Raw genomic sequence first — 16,192 nt, 5'->3', positions numbered from 1 at the left:
TATACCTAGTTTGTTTTTAAATGATTGGTAGAATTCTCCTATGAAATCATATGGACCGCAGGCTTTTGAAGGAAGGGAGGACCAAAGCTTTGTCAATATTTCTGTTTTTTGTTCTGTTTAAATTTTCTTTTTCTTCGTAAACAGTTTTGGGAAATTGTATTTCCTTAGAAAACTACTCTGGCCATGATGATGAAGTGACAGGGACCAGATTTACTCTCCCATTTTAAACAGCTAAGAAACCAAACAAAATCTATGAAGCAGTGGATACCATGCAGGGCAGGACGGTGAATCCTTACCTCTAGAGCAGTGTGAGAAATACAGTTGCCTCAGCTTATTGCCAGAAAGAGTGGCCAACCACACCCAGGGCAAGGAGAACCCAAACAGAGCCCAGTGGTCTTCTGAATTGAGGAGACAGAGTTCAGGCTGGCTGTGGCAGCACGAATTGGTGAGGGAAAGTACTGGAGAAGAGGGAGCTTCACAGATAGACAGCTCCAGAGTCCTGCAGGTGGGTCTTCGCCGGTCCTTGGCTGCATTGGAATCTGTGTGTGCATGAGAGAAAACTCTAACATCCGGAGAGAAAAACACTATAAGGCAGTAGGAAGGAAAAGTCTCTGAGGCGTAGAGCCAAGAATGGTTCATGTGCTCACCAGCCATCACACAGGTTGTGTAGAGTCCTACAAAGAGTGTTGTCTCAGTCCCCCTAATCAAAGCCAAGCTGCAATACATGTAGAGTCTGCTTTATTTTTGGCTTACTGTTACTTTGGCTTACTGTTATTTTGGTACATATATATATATATATATTATTAGTATAATAATTAGTATATATATATATTAGTACCAAAACTTCTAATATATATATATAATATATATATTTATATCTATATCTATATCTATTTATTTATTTTGAGATGGAGTCTCACTCTATCGCCCAGGCTGGAGTGCAGTGCCATGATCTCGGCTCACTGCAACCTCCGCCTCCCAGGTTCAAGCGATCCTTCTGCCTCAGCTTCCCCAGTAGCTGGGATTACAGGCACCTGGCTAATTTTTTTTTTTGAGATGAAGTCTTGCTCATTCGCCAGGCTGGAGTGCAGTGGTGTGATCTTGACTCACTGCAGCCTCTGCCTTCCGTGTTCAAGCGATCCTCCTGCCTCAGCCTCCTGAGTAGCTGGGACTACAGGCATGCACTACCACACTTAGCTAATTTTTGTATTTTTTTTTTAGTAGAGACGGGGTTTCACCATGTTGGCCAGGATGATCTCGATCTCTTGGCTTCGTGATCTGTCTACCTCAGCCTCCCAAAGTGCTGGGATTACAGGCATGAGCCACTATGCCTGGCCTGGTTGTAGAAGTTTGAAATATATTTTGGATACTTCAGAACAGCTATATATGCTGAAAATCAAATTTGTAGCTTGCCTTTTCACTTAGAAAATCATTGTCATATGATGAGTAGAGGCTTGAAATTTTAGTGTAGGCAAATTGCTGTCTTATTTTTTAGATAACTAAAGTTCTTTCAACTTATTTAAGAAATATTTACCTCCTAAAATATTATAAAGATATTCCACAGAATATGTTCAATGATTTACATTTTTACTCTTCAGTATAAGTATCACATCTACCTGAAACTGACCTTTATGCATGGCGTGAGAAAGACATATAATATCATTTTTTTCTTTGTGGTTCCTCAGTTGCTCCAGCACTATTTATTGAAAGACTTGTCCTTTCCTACTGATCTATTGGCCACCATGTCATGGATCAAATTTCCATATATTATTTACAGGTCCTCTAATGTGTTATTTTGGTTGATTTCTCTAATTTTGCTCAAATATAACACTATTTAAATTACTATTCCTTTAAAATATGTTGTGATGAACAGGGGCAGCCTAGTGAGATAGAAAGTTGTACTGTGGGTGGCAGCCGCTTTTAGCCCGAACTGAGTACTGGCCTTCCCAGAATGAGCATGACATTGGATATGGAGCCCTAGGCTCACACAGTGCATGACAGATACCAGGCACTTTGACGAGACCAACAGCAAAGCATCTGCAGATGAAATGTGGCCACTAGCCCTTTCCCAGTCGGTCAACATCCTGCAGGTGGAGGCATGTAGGATTGTACATGTGCAAGAATTTCTTTTGGGTCTCTAATTAGGAACGGAATTAGTGCAACTATATTTAAAGAATAAAGCCCAAATTGTGTTTTCATGTGATAGTACAATTTTATGATCTCACCAGCAGTGTATAAAAATTTTTGTTGCTCCAGTTTCAGCTTTCTACATATGGCTAGCCAGTTTTCCCAGCACCATTTATTAAATAGGGAATGTTTTTGTCAGGTTTGTCAAAGATCAGATGGTTGTAGATGTGTGGTATTATTTCTGAGGGCTGTGTTCTGTTCCATTGGTCTATATATCTGTTTTGGTACCAGTACCATGCTGTTTTGGTTACTGTAGCCTTGTAGTATAGTTGGAAGTCAGGTAGTGTGATGCCTCCAGCTTTGTTCTTTTGGCTTAGGAATGTCTTGGCAATGTGCGCTCTTTTTTGGTTCCATATGAACTTTAAAGTAGTTTTTTCCAATTCTGTGAAGAAAGTCATTGGTAGCTTGATGGGGATGGCATTGAATCTATAAATTACCTTGGGCAGTATGGCCATTTTCACGCTATTGATTCTTCCTATCCATGAGCATGGAATGTTCTTCCATTTGTTTGTATCCTCTTTTATTTCGTTGAGCAGTGGTTTGTAGTTCTTCTTGAAGAGGTCCTTCACGTCCCTTGTAAGTTGGATTCCTAGGTATTTTATTCTCTTTGAAGCAGTTGTGAATGGGAGTTCACTCATGATTTGGCTCTCTGCTTGTCTGTTACTGGTGTTATTTGGCTCTCTGCTTGTCTGTTATAGGAATGCTTGTGATTTTTGCACATTGATCCCTTCGTTACACCTTATACAAAAATTAATTCAAGATGGATTAAAGACTTAAATGTTAGACCTAAAACCATAAAAACCCTAGAAGAAAACCTAGACAATACCATTCAGGACATAGGCATGCACAAGGACTTCATGTCTAAAACACCAAAAGCCATGGCAACAAAAGCCAAAATTGACAAATGGGACCTAATTAAACAAGAGCTTCTGCACAGCAAAAGAAACTACCATCAGAGTGAACAGGCAACCTACAGAATGGGAGAAAATTTTTGCAATCTACTCATCTGACAAAGGGCTAATATCCAGAATCTACAAAGAACTTAAAGAAATTTACAAGAAAAAGTCAAACAACCCCATCAAAAAGTGGGTGAAGTATATGAACAGACACTTCTCAAAAGAAGACATTTATGCAGCCAACAGACACATGAAAAAATGCTCATCATCACTGGCCATCAGAGAAATGCAAATCAAAACCACAATGAGATACCATCTCACACCAGTTAGAATGGCAATCATTAAAAAGTCAGGAAACAACAGGTGCTGGAGAGGATGTGAAGAAATAGGAACACTTTTACACTGTTGGTGGGACTGTAAACTAGTTCAACCATTGTGGAAGACAGTGTGGCGATTCCTCACGGAACTAGAACCAGAAATACCATTTGACCCAGCAATCCCATTACTGGGTATATACCCAAAGGATTATAAATCATGCTGCTATAAAGACACATGCACACGTATGTTTATTGTGGCACCATTCACAATAGCAAAGACTTGGAACCAACCCAAATGTCCATCAGTGATAGACTGGATTAAGAAAATGTGGCACATATACACCATGAAATACTATGCAGCCATAAAAAAGGATGAGTTCATGTCCTTTGTAAGGACAGGGATGAAGCTGGAAACCAGCATTCTCAGCAAACTATCACAAGGACAGAAAACCAAACACCGCATGTTCTCACTCATAGGTGGGAATTGAACAATGAGAACACTTGGACACAGGAAGGGGAACATCACACACCAGGGCCTGTCGTGGGATGGGGGGAGGGGGGAGGGACAGCATTAGGAGATATACCTAATGTAAATGACGAGTTAATGGGTGCAGCACACCAACACAGCACATGTATACATATGTAACAAACCTGCACATTGTGCACATGTACCCTAGAACTTAAAGTATAATTTAAAAAAAAAAGAAAAAAATTTTTGTTGCTCAATATTTTCATCAAAACTTGATATTATGTCGTTTCTTCATTTAGGCCAATAGTACATGTAAAATAGTGTCTCTATTGTGATTTTATTTAATTAATTAATTAATTTATTTATTTTGAGACCGATTCTCACTCTGTTGCCCAGGTTGGAGTGCAGTGGTGTGATCTCAGCTCACTGCAACCTCTGCCTCCCAGGTTCAAGTGATTCTCCTGCCTCAGCCTCCCGAGTAGCTGGGATTACAGGCATGTGCCACCATGCCCAGCTAATTTTTGTATTTTTAGTAGCAATGGGGTTTTGTCATGTTGGCCAGGCTGGTCTCGAACTCCTGACCTCAGGTGATCCCCCCACCTTGGCCTCCCAAAGTGTGAGGATTACAGGCGTAAGCCACTGCTCCCAGCCTCCATTGTGATTTTAATTTACATTTGCTAGAAGAAGCTGAAAAGGCTGGCACAAAAGTCAGAGTCTTGAGGGCAGAGACAGTCATAGTGATCAGATGATGTCATAAAAGTTGTTTTTTGAAGCAGATTAAAAAAAAAAAAGAGGGAAGGGAAAGTCTTATAGAAAAGTTGTTAAAATCATGCTTTGTGGCTTGAGGTCCAGCTCTGCTACATCCTAGATAGGTAACATTAAGTAAGTTACTAAACTTCCCCGAGCCTCAAATTCCTCCTCTGCAAAGTGGAGCAAATAACAAAGCCATGTCAAAGAGTTGTCCAGAAAATTAAGATAATGCACCAAAATAAAGCAAATATTAATGATTGCCATTTTATTAGTATTAATATTTGTTGATCCCCTACCAAGTGCTTTAACTATTATTTTATTTAATTCTTAGACCAACCCTCTGTGGTTGGAAATATTATTCTGTTTTTACACATGAAGAAATGGAAGGCCAGAGTTGCTGAGCAGCTGGTCCTAAGGCACGCCGTCAGTCACTGGAAAAGCAAGTGTGAGTGTACACCACGTCAGTGTTTTTCTTACCAGGCTCTTCTGGGGAAGTGTGAAGGGCTGGAGGTTTTGCAGCAAAGGAAATGCAAGGTCTCCATCATGGTGGGCACTTCCTGTTTGAACAGGGAGTAGGACATTGAGGGAGGGCTCGGCAACCTCTCCACATTCGCCGTTCATTAACCTCATCACCAAGAGTCTCAACTTCTAAGGTCCTGGCCTAGAGAATTACAGTGGGAAGAGACGTCCCTCAGGACCCCTTGGTCCCTCCTAACTGAACTCAGCTCTTCTACCACCAATTCCAAAGTCATGATGGGGTCCCCAAGATGCAATTCCAGTGCCCCCCAGTGCCCCCGATTAACAAGGTCCTGAGGGAGAAAGCACTGCATTCCTGAGGACTCATTAGAAAGCCAAGGTTGGAGAAAGCTTCTCCCTTTTGTCTCCATTCTTGTGCCTCCTTCTCACCTCCAGGGCAAGCCTGAGAGTCAGCTCTCTCTGCTCAGAACTCTTGTTCCGAGAGGAATCTGGGAGAACAACGCTCTGTCTGGATACTTACTCTAGCCTCAGCACCACCATTAGATCCACTGTGGCTTTGTGAAGATGAATAAATTCTCTGGACTTCATTGGTGTGGTATGATAAATGGGATTATTAATACTCCCTAATTACCCCCATGAAACTAATATGAGGGGTGCAGTAAGGAGTTGGAGGGGAGGCCTCTTTGAGAAAATCAAAAGCATCACAAAGTCATAAGGCATCATTATTGGGTTCATTAAAAGCTTGGGTTGTTTATTGCTCTGTGGCTCCCTAAACCTCCGAACCTTCCTGGAAGGGCTAATTCTGAGATCCCCAGAGGCTGACACGGCAGTGGATAGATGACTGGATGATCTCATTTCTGGCTCACTCGTTTTCTCGTATATGGCCCTTCTTTGCTCTCCGGAGCACAGGCCTGCACAGTGCTTCACCCGCTTCCTTTCCCTTCAATAGAAACCTTGCTGGCCTCTGTATCCACAACGAGGTGAGGACTCTCCGGGGGCCCCCTTCTGCTCCCTAATAATAGAGGTGGCATTTGAGTTGTTACCAAGTGGTCAAATCTCTTATTTCATGGAGGACTTACTAGAGAAAGAGAGTCTTGTTCGAGATAACATATCAAGTGAGAGAAAGATCTGGGACTCTCCCATGCCAGGGCACGTTGCCAATGCCCGTCCTTCCTAGATGAGGCCTGCTTTCTCTTTTTACTGAAGTGAGTAGGAGGGCACTCAGAGAATCCAACCTTCCTGCCTGGACCCATTTCTCGGGGAGCAACGCTGAACCAGGTTCCTACAACAGAGGGTTGTATTGAGTCACGATCATCAGATGCATAAAGGACTTAGTTGGAATGTTGGAGCAGGGATCCAGGATCACTCAATAAGGGCAGCCTGAGCCTCAAGCTGGATGCCTGAGAGTGGTAATCCAGGTGAGTCTCTACAGGTGAGGTCATCACTGTGATCCTGTGTAAGACAGGCTTCTTGGAAACATAGACCAGTGTTCATCCTAGACTCTTGTTGGGTTATATGGCATCTCTGTGGGGTGTACTCTTCTAGCCTATTCTTATTTATTCATAGGGTCTACCATTCCTAATTGCCAAATTCTTTTGAGATGTTCTATCAAAAAGACATCTCCGTGAATGGATTGTTTTAACTAATGTCTTAACTATTCCCAAATGAGTCCTCAGAACCACCCCATCTATCTTGACTCTAGAAGAAACTAATAAAAAAGAAGAACAACAAAGAAACCCCACGCCATCTAGATAAAGGGAGAAGAGACACCTACAGCAGTACTTCTGTGCCTTTTCCTCACACTTGCACCTCCCTTAAATCGTATCAATCTTTTATCGTGTTGCACAAACTCCAGCTCATCCAGAAAGCCTTTCCCAACTCCTACAGCCCAATCTGATGCTCCCTTTTACTGAAATATTGTTGCTCTTACGGTCATACTTTCAAAGTTCATTTATTTATTTATTTCAGAAATATTGAACCCTACTGTATGCAAAGTGTGACACAAGGCATTAAGAATGCAAAGCTGAATTTGGCAGAAATCTGTTGGCAAGCCACAATGGAGTAGAGGAGGTGTGCTCTATAGAGAAATGTCCGTGTGAGAGGTTAACAGAGCTAAGAGCCGTAAAGTATACAATTAAAGTGCCGCAGAGTTTAGTGGACAGGAATATGAGATGGGGCAGGACCAGGAAAACCTTTACAGAGGAAGCACATTTTAATTGAGCCAAAGGATTTGAGAACTTAGAATTAGTTAGAGGATGTTCCAGATAAAGTAAATGGTTAGAACAAAGATGGGAAGATACAGAATCAAAGGGTGTAAAACCTTACAACCTGAGTTAAAGTGGATGGGAAAGGGCAAATGAGAGGTAGTTTAATTAATTACTTAATATGTAAGGGAATTGTTCTGCTCCTATAGATATGTCAATTCACAGAGTATTTATAGTGAATGATTTTTAAGTCGATGATTAGACTCAGAGGGTGATACAACAGGAATTGTTGATTTAAGAATTTTTAGGAGACACCCTATGCAACATCTCCCAAATCCGACAGCCACCACCTTATGGGGACCTAATTTGGGATTCTAGCTTTGAGGCTTCCACCAGCTCTGCCTGGTGTCCATAACTGCTGCTCTGCCTTAATTGCAGATATAAAATGAACCTGTGTAGAAAAGGGAATCTCTGCAGGGCCCAGAGGGGGCAGCTACTGGCTGAGGGAGCAGAGAGTGAAAGAAAAGAACCAGATGTTATGCCCCTTCCATAAACGTAATTTGAAAAGCTTTCCTTCTTCAATATCCCAGTACAGTCAAGTAACATTGGAAAAAATGATTCCTTGAAAGTTTAACACAATTTTTCCATTTTTTGGTGGGGATGGCGGAATGTTGGTGGTAGTGTAATGGAATGGAGTCCCTTTTTGAACAACTTTCTCTGTATCTTTTTCCCATAGTAATTAGCTTGTTTCAATTTTTTCAACTTTTCTCGAGCAAGTTTTCACATGATTTTTAATCATATTTTACCAATTATGTCCAATTTTTCAAAAAATATAGATTGGGGTAAAGTGACTTTGTAAGTACTTTTTAATCTTTTAATGTAATTGTGATTATTTTCCTTTATAAATTGTTGTTTTATACAGTTGTATTTTCTTTTTATTGATTGAATTAATAAAAAATTTAACAAGTTTATGTACCCCTTTTCCTACCCATAAAAGATTTCTTGAACTTGTTTATTAGCTCTGTATTTCTTTCTACTCAAGTTTTGCTTTTATTATGACTTTTCTTATGGTTCCTTTTCTAATGTCTTGATTGGATCATTTAATTCTTTCGTTGTTGTGGATATACTCATTTAAGGCTACGAATTCTTTTCTGAACACTGATTTAATCCATTTTTTAAAATGTGCTGCTGTCATTATCTCCTTTTTCTTCTCCTGCAGATATTCTTTAGTTTTAGTTTTCATTCTCTGTTTGGTCCAACCGTTTCTTAAGGATTTCTTTAAATATTGGATTTTATTTTTAAAATCATGTTTCTTTCCATTGGGCTGTGATCATATATCATTGTTTGTATTATTTGTTCTTTTGAAGTTTGCTGAATTTCTGGTTTTATATATGCTGTTTCTGGGCAGTAAATGTTTCATGGGCACTTTAAGGAAGGTGTACAATGTCAATTGGTTCTACCTCTTGAAAAATATTGAGGTTTTTATCGCCTTTATTCTGCCAACTTAAATTTATATGGACTGAAAGTCACTAAAATCCACTGTTACCCTGTTTCTGACTATTTCTCTTTGAACATCCTGTGCTTTTTGCTTTACGTATCAATGCTATATACTTAGGACATTCGTTTTCATACCTATTACATCTTCTTGCACCCCTTATAAAATGCTCTTCTTTTCCTCATTTACTGACTTTTTTGAATTCAAACACATTTTATATTAAGATTATGATCCCTGCTTTATTTTCGTTTACATCTGACTGGTATTCCTTTACCTTTCACCCTTTCTAATTAACTTGGTTTTGGCTGTATATTTTGGCATCAGCCTAGAGTTGTATTTTTTAGATCCAACCTGAAATTCTTTTCTTTTACTAGATGAGCTTGGCCCACTCGGCTTTATCATTGTAAGTGTGTTTGGTACTAATTTTGTTCTGTTATGTTATACTGTTTGCTTTTATTGTTTTGAAATAGCCTTTCACTGTAAGGGCTACATTTGTCTTTGTTTTGTATGCATCCTTCCTCTTATATTTTAGAAGATTTTTTTCTAGGGTTACTTTTATAACTGTAACTTTGTGTAGAGTTCCAATACTCTGTTTTTAGTCAGTGTCTACTAATTCCCTGGTATAAGCACAATGAAATTAGTATATTCCTGTTTCTTTTCCCTTTTCTCTCTCTCCTATACCATGTAATTTATTTGATTATGTTATATTAATCTTTCTTTTATACTGATTTGTGTACTTATACCCCCATTATGTAATTTATCAGGTTTAAATAATATCTTTTAACATTCAGCTATAGAAGATGAGGAAATCAACACATACGTCCTCCTATCTCCTTTTTTTGCTAATTATAAACATTTTACCTTTTGAGATTTTAAAAACATTTACACTTTCTTTCATACTTACAATTTTCACAAATGTTTTAGTCTTAGACCTATTGTTAAATACATTTAATATTAACCACCAGTTTATAGACTGCAGAGTTCCTATTTTTCTTTTTGTTGACTGAAGTCTGTTTCTTAAAAAAGCTTCTGTTAAAAAAAACAAACAAAACAAAACTCTGAAGTCTGCTTTCTTCAACAATGGCTAATGTTTGTAACTTTCCTTGAATTCTCAGATTGCCAACTTAACTTTATATATGAATATTATATTTGAATAATAGTCTAGATAGTTTCAACAATTTTGGATCACATTTCTTCCCCCGGAGACTGCAGGCATGTTCTTCATTACATTCCAACTTTGACTGTTACTTTGGAGAAATGATATGCTACCTTAATTTCTTTCCTTTAGAATTGACAGGATTTTGTTTGTTTGTCTGTTTTTTGACTAGGCTATCCATTTTTTTAATCATTGATATTCAGTGATACTCCAGTGGTATGTAACAATGCTGGCGTTCTGTATGAATGTTTCCTGGGACAAAGTGTACACTTTTGAATTGTAAAGTCAAGTGTTTCTGTAATTTTTTAATTAAAATTGAGTTTTAAATAATTGTTCTTTTCCACTTTTTTGATTTCCTCCTTTGGTAACTCGAATGTACATAGATTGGATCTCCTTTGTCTTTTCTCATATCTGTCATTTTCTCTCTTTTCTCATTGCATCTTGTCATCTTTTAAAATACTGTTCCTGCATCTGTCTAATTTTTTTCCATGTATTGTTTCTAATATTGGTTTTTTTGGTATAGTAATTTTACATTTCTTTAACATCTTTTCTTTCTTCTTCCAGCTCATATTTCTTATCTTTCTTGCAATCCCTTCCCTCAGCTCTTATATTTTTACTCTGTTTTCTTATTTTATACCAGAAAATGCCTCCTTAAGTTTTTTTTTTATTTTATTTTTAGAGAGGCCGAAATGTTGGGTAACAATTTTCTTTTTTATTGTTATTATTTTATTTTTTTAAGTTCTGGGGTACATGTGCAGGACATGCAGGTTTGTCACATAGGTAAACATGTGCCATGGTGGTTTGCTGCACCTATCACCCCATCACCTAGGTATTAAGCCCAGCATGCATTAGCTCTTTTCCCTAATGTTCTCGCCCTGGCCACCCTCCCATGACAGGCCCCAGTGTGTGTTGTTTCCCTGTCTGTGTACATGTATTCTCATTGTTCAGCTCCCACTTATAAGTGAGGGCATGCAGTGTTTGGTTTCCTGTTCCTGCATTAGTTTGCTGAGGATAATGGCTTCCAGCTTCATCCACATCCCTGCAAAGGACATGATCTCATTCTTTTTCATGGCTGCATAGTATTCCGTGGTGTATATGTACCACATTTTCTTTATCCAGTCTGTCATTGATGGGCATTTGGGTTGATTCCATGTCTTTGCCAGGTAACAGTTTTCATATGTTCATTGGCAACATTCTTTGATGGAGTGAATTTTGTCATCCATTTGTCTTTCTTGTTTATTTACCTCTTTTTTCTTGTAGAATCCTTGTTTATATGATGTGCAGGTTTGTTTTAATCCTTAAATGACATGAGTTTTTGCCAAACTAGATATTCACAAGATGCTTGTATCTTGCAAGTCTAAGACATGTTTCAGACTAGCAGGAACCTACCTTGTGATTCAGAATTGGAGGTAAATTATTTTAGCTTTTATTTGTGTGTAATGAATGCAGACAGGTAAATAGAACTGTTAGAACTGATGTATTTTTTTCTACCTTTTGCCTCCAGTTTTATGCTTTATCTATAGCCTGTGTACCTAAGTCTTCATTTAGCCTTTTCTCTGCTTCTTGAGTCCAATTCAGGGTCACAGAGGATTATGGTGCCATACTTTACACCATATACCCATTATTGCAAACAAGAGCTTTGGTTTTGTTTTTTGTTGATTGCCTCCCCCTACCCACCCTTTTTTTTTTTTTAAGAGAATTATACTCATTTAACTCTTATACAGTCATGGATTTCCTCTCTCTGCTTCTTGTCACTCTCCTATTTGATCTTTACTGTTCTTGAATCCATCCAATCTAGTTTATGGATTGGGGTTGTGGACACTTACTAGTTTCTTTGAAGATAGAATCTGTATGTTTATTTTTCTGCTTGTTTTGGAAAGAGATAAGTTCTGAGAAGAGAACATTTTGGATTTACTCGGCCATGTTCAAACCAGAAGTACACTTTTTGCTTATTTTTCCCAAGGGTTTGTCTTTCATAATCTTTACAAATAGGTTCTTGCAGCTGGGGGGCGGGTTGGAGGAGGGAGGTCCAGAGTGGTAATGTTACCTGTGCTTACGCCTGCAAATAAAGTTATTCAGGTAAATGTAGCGACAGAGTAAACAAGTGTAGTGTGGCCTAAGGAGCGCAAAATTCCTTACTTGTACAGAGGGAACGTGGCAGAGGGCCGGGCAAGTAGAAGGGGGTCTGTTTCTTTTTCTTGAGTAAATAAATTATTGGGAGGAGTGATTCTTTTCCTCCCTGGATGTTTCTTTGCAGGAACTCATGCAGCCAGAATCTGGGGCCAATGGAACAGTCATTGCTGAGTTCATCCTGCTGGGCTTGCTGGAGGCGCCAGGGCTGCAGCCAGTTGTCTTTGTGCTCTTCCTCTTTGCCTACCTGGTCACGGTCAGGGGCAACCTCAGCATCCTGGCAGCTGTCTTGGTGGAGCCCAAACTCCACACCCCCATGTACTTCTTCCTGGGGAACCTATCAGTGCTGGATGTTGGGTGCATCAGCGTCACTGTTCCATCAATGTTGAGTCGTCTCCTGTCCCGCAAGCGTGCAGTTCCCTGTGGGGCCTGCCTTACCCAGCTCTTCTTCTTCCATCTGTTCGTTGGAGTGGACTGCTTCCTGCTGACCGCCATGGCCTATGACCGATTCCTGGCCATCTGCCGGCCCCTCACCTACAGCACCCGCATGAGTCAGACAGTCCAGAGGATGTTGGTGGCTGCGTCCTGGGCTTGTGCTTTCACCAACGCACTGACCCACACTGTGGCCATGTCCACGCTCAACTTCTGTGGCCCCAATGTGATCAATCACTTCTACTGTGACCTCCCACAGCTCTTCCAGCTCTCCTGCTCCAGCACCCAACTCAATGAGCTGCTGCTTTTTGCTGTGGGTTTTATAATGGCAGGTACCCCCATGGCTCTCATTGTCATCTCCTATATCCACGTGGCAGCTGCAGTCCTGCGAATTCGCTCTGTAGAGGGCAGGAAGAAAGCCTTCTCCACATGTGGCTCCCACCTCACTGTGGTTGCCATATTCTATGGTTCAGGTATCTTTAACTATATGCGACTGGGTTCAACCAAGCTTTCAGACAAGGATAAAGCTGTTGGAATTTTCAACACTGTCATCAATCCCATGCTGAACCCAATCATCTACAGCTTCAGAAACCCTGATGTGCAGAGTGCCATCTGGAGGATGCTCACAGGGAGGCGGTCACTGGCTTGAGGAGGTCTCAATTGACCCTTTCTCCCTGTGTCTTGTACTAAAGGAAAAGTCTTCTAGAGCCAGAAACTAGGAAAAAAATGGTTCACACCTGTTTCTGTTTCATGGGCATAAGAAGGACTTTTTGTAGGGAATAATAGTTTTCATTTCTGAAAGCAGCCCTGTCCAATTATAAGCAATGAGTGTATAGGATCTGCCAAGCCAGCCCCTTAGACAAATTCAGCTTCAGGCACCGTGTTCTCTCCTTTCTGGCTAGAGGTGAAACCTAGGAAGCTGTGAGTGCTGACAGGTTCATGTTCCAGAAGGAATGACTCTTTGGTTGGTTACAGCCTTAGTTGCCAGAAGTACCCCAGAAAACTCCCCGCCAGAAGTCATATTTTTCCCTCAAGTTCAGGTGTGCTTGGTCTGTTTATAAAACATAGGTCTAGAGATTAGGATTGTTTTATTTCTCCCATCAGAACTCTAAAAGCAAAAATAAAACAAAAAGAAACAAAAACAAAAAAGTAGCTCTTTCTATTCCCATTAAACAAGGACCCCATAGCATAGACAGGGGACAGAGGGGAAGCTGTATGATTATGTATTCTCTAGTAATTCTGGAGCACCTGATACCTGTGTGCAGCTCACAGACTTGTTTCCAAATGCTAAAACTCCATTAATATGTATTATATATCTTATGTTACAAAAATGAATTTTCCTCATCTTTTTCTCCCATGTGTTTCAAATTTTTTGAAAAGATAAGAATTTATAATCTAAGCATTATTTACATATTTCAGAAAATCCAAGACTACTCAATATGAAAATTTCTCCAAAACTCTCACTCTTAGTCTCCAAACCTCCTTGCTGAGATAATCCATAACTATAAATGCAAGTCATATGGTGAGGAGTCACCCTGAATGTCCCTTCTCAGTAGGGGAGTGTGGCTCTGACCCAGAGCATTAGCTCAACTTGCTTGAAGTTAAACCAGCCATGATTTCGCTGTATCTTTTCAGCTTCCCATTTAGGACTCATTGCCCATTCCTGGCAACTCTGCTGTGCCACTGCTGTTTCCAAATGCATTTTCCTAAAACTTTCCTTTGACTGGCACCTGTGACTTGGCTTCTCTATAATATTTTATGGGGGTGAGGGATTGAATAGATGCAGTAAGATAGAGATAAAGAGAAAAGACACAAAAGAGGGAAGCAAAACAAGACTGGAGGAGGAGAGTTGGTAGGAAAATGAAGTGGAAAGATGAGGAATAGGGAGAACTGGGAGAGAATTGCAAGTGGAGGGGGTTAGGACCAAACGTGGTACACAGAATGGGAAATGAGAAAGAATGGAGGAATTGGATAAGATGCCTTGAGAGTATTGAAAGATCAGAGGAAGAAAGCGGGGGCATAAAATAAGTGGGTCACACATGAGAGATGTGGGCTTCCCATTCTATGTTTTCCAGCAATAACCAATTCCAGCACTCCTGATGCCATCATTGTAGTCCGTCTTCTCTACTAAGAAGGAAGTGATTGATATTTTAAGTTATGCTAAGTGTACAAAAAAAGTACACCAAGGACTCGTTTTCTCTTTCTCTAAACAGAGGTGCTCCTAGGATGTCAGGAAGAAGGTTTACTAGATGAGAAAACACAGAAGAAAAGAGTGCTGGGTATTTTCTCCAGCTACGTATCTAAAATGTCATCAAAATTTGTGACGAACTGCCCAACTTAACACTCCCTACCTTTTGAGTCATGCTGGCTGACGGCGTCAATAGACACAGGAAAAAGATGCCTTTTTCTGATTTATTGCATCATCAGACAAACTTCAGGGACACAAAGAGTGAGTCTTCTTCCAGGGTCAAGAAGACCGTTGGGGAAGACCTGGGATGTGGTTCTCATCTCATCCCTTCTCTCATTCACGACACGCTTGACCTTGAATAAGTTGATGAGTTCCTCTGGGTCTGTTCTTGACCAAAAGCACTAGGTTATATTAAGGTTCTTCCACTGCGAGATTTCTCTGAGTCTGTTAGTTTGAATGAATAGAAAGACTGTATCTGTTTACCCTGAGGGAGCTACCACACCTTCCACCATCACTTCTTTGGCTACATTTAACCCCTGCAGCAAAACTGAGCCTGCTGTTTATCTCCAAAGATCTGGTGCCTCTGGCATTTCTTCAGCTGGCTCTTTACTTCAAGCCTCAAGGAGAGATTTCGGTCTTGGCCTTGCCACTAGGGTGGAATGGAGCCACTGGGTCCAGCATCATAGACAATGGCCAAAGGCCTGATTCCCAGGTCCCTGTTCACCCTCCAGGATCACACGGTTTCTTTATCAATTTGGGAGATTCCATTTCATTTGGAATTTTTCTCCCCTTTTATATTTCAAACTGGAAATCTCCTTGCTACTTAAAAATTCTATTATCCATGTAATACATCATGTTGTAAATGTACAAACAGTACAGAACATCACCACCCTTCCGCACCATCCGCACAGTAATCTTATCTTTAAAAGTAACTACTGTTAATAGTTTCATGTTTAGCTTTCCAAATGAACACACACAAACACACACTCACACACACAAACACACCCACATTCAAAACCATACTGTGTTGTAATCTGACTTTTCTCTGTCTATATTGCATAGTATAATTCTTACATGTGAGCCTACAAATCTATCTTACCCATTTTAAAGGCTGCATAATATTCCATTTATGTAAAATTATAATCTATTTAACCACACCCCATTGATGTAATTTAGTTCCTATTTTTGCGACTGCCAATAATACTGAGATTAGTATTTATATATATAGCTGAGTATCTGAAATTATTTCCAGTGGCTAAGTTCATGAACGTAGTTTGTGTGTTTGTGTATAAGTACGTGTTCACTATCAGAAATACAAATGCAAAGTTAAAGTTTAATAAGTATTCTGCCTTTGTATTTGCCAAAAAATGTACAGCATTTTACATCCAGATTGGCAGTGTATGCAAATGCTTGTTGCTTCACATCTTTGACCTCATTGGATGTTATATATATATCTTTTTATATTTGAAAACTAGATGAAATACTGTATTA

The 16,192-nt window shown here is 39.8% G+C and overlaps 2 protein-coding genes across 3 annotated transcripts in view; both read left to right on the top strand.

Annotated features, from left to right (window-relative positions):
* Positions 1 to 16,192, top strand: part of OR3A2 (olfactory receptor family 3 subfamily A member 2) — a 110,196-nt gene that overhangs the window by 81,512 nt on the left and 12,492 nt on the right. Inside the window, exons 3-4 of one of the 2 annotated variants that reach the window (XM_047436157.1) lie at positions 4,951 to 5,064; positions 5,532 to 5,691. The exons of the other annotated variant lie outside the window; for it this stretch is intronic. The gene's annotated coding sequence lies outside the window, so the exon portion shown is untranslated. The remainder of the gene's footprint in view (positions 1 to 4,950; positions 5,065 to 5,531; positions 5,692 to 16,192) is intronic. 2 annotated transcript variants of the gene reach the window in all.
* Positions 6,437 to 13,780, top strand: OR3A1 (olfactory receptor family 3 subfamily A member 1). Its single transcript, NM_002550.3, has 2 exons — positions 6,437 to 6,514; positions 12,209 to 13,780. The coding sequence occupies exon 2, from the start codon at positions 12,215 to 12,217 to the stop codon at positions 13,160 to 13,162; it is 948 nt and encodes a 315-aa protein (NP_002541.2). The 5' UTR covers positions 6,437 to 6,514; positions 12,209 to 12,214; the 3' UTR covers positions 13,163 to 13,780.

This window comes from Homo sapiens, chromosome 17, assembly GCF_000001405.40.
Source record: "Homo sapiens chromosome 17, GRCh38.p14 Primary Assembly".
NCBI classification, from domain to species: domain Eukaryota; kingdom Metazoa; phylum Chordata; class Mammalia; order Primates; family Hominidae; genus Homo; species Homo sapiens.
This window is presented reverse-complemented; position numbering and strand designations above follow the sequence as displayed.

Excerpts from the sequence above, each read along its gene's own strand:
- OR3A1 (NM_002550.3), top strand. The coding sequence starts at position 12,215 with ATGCAGCCAGAATCTGGGGCCAATGGAACAGTCATTGCTGAGTTCATC.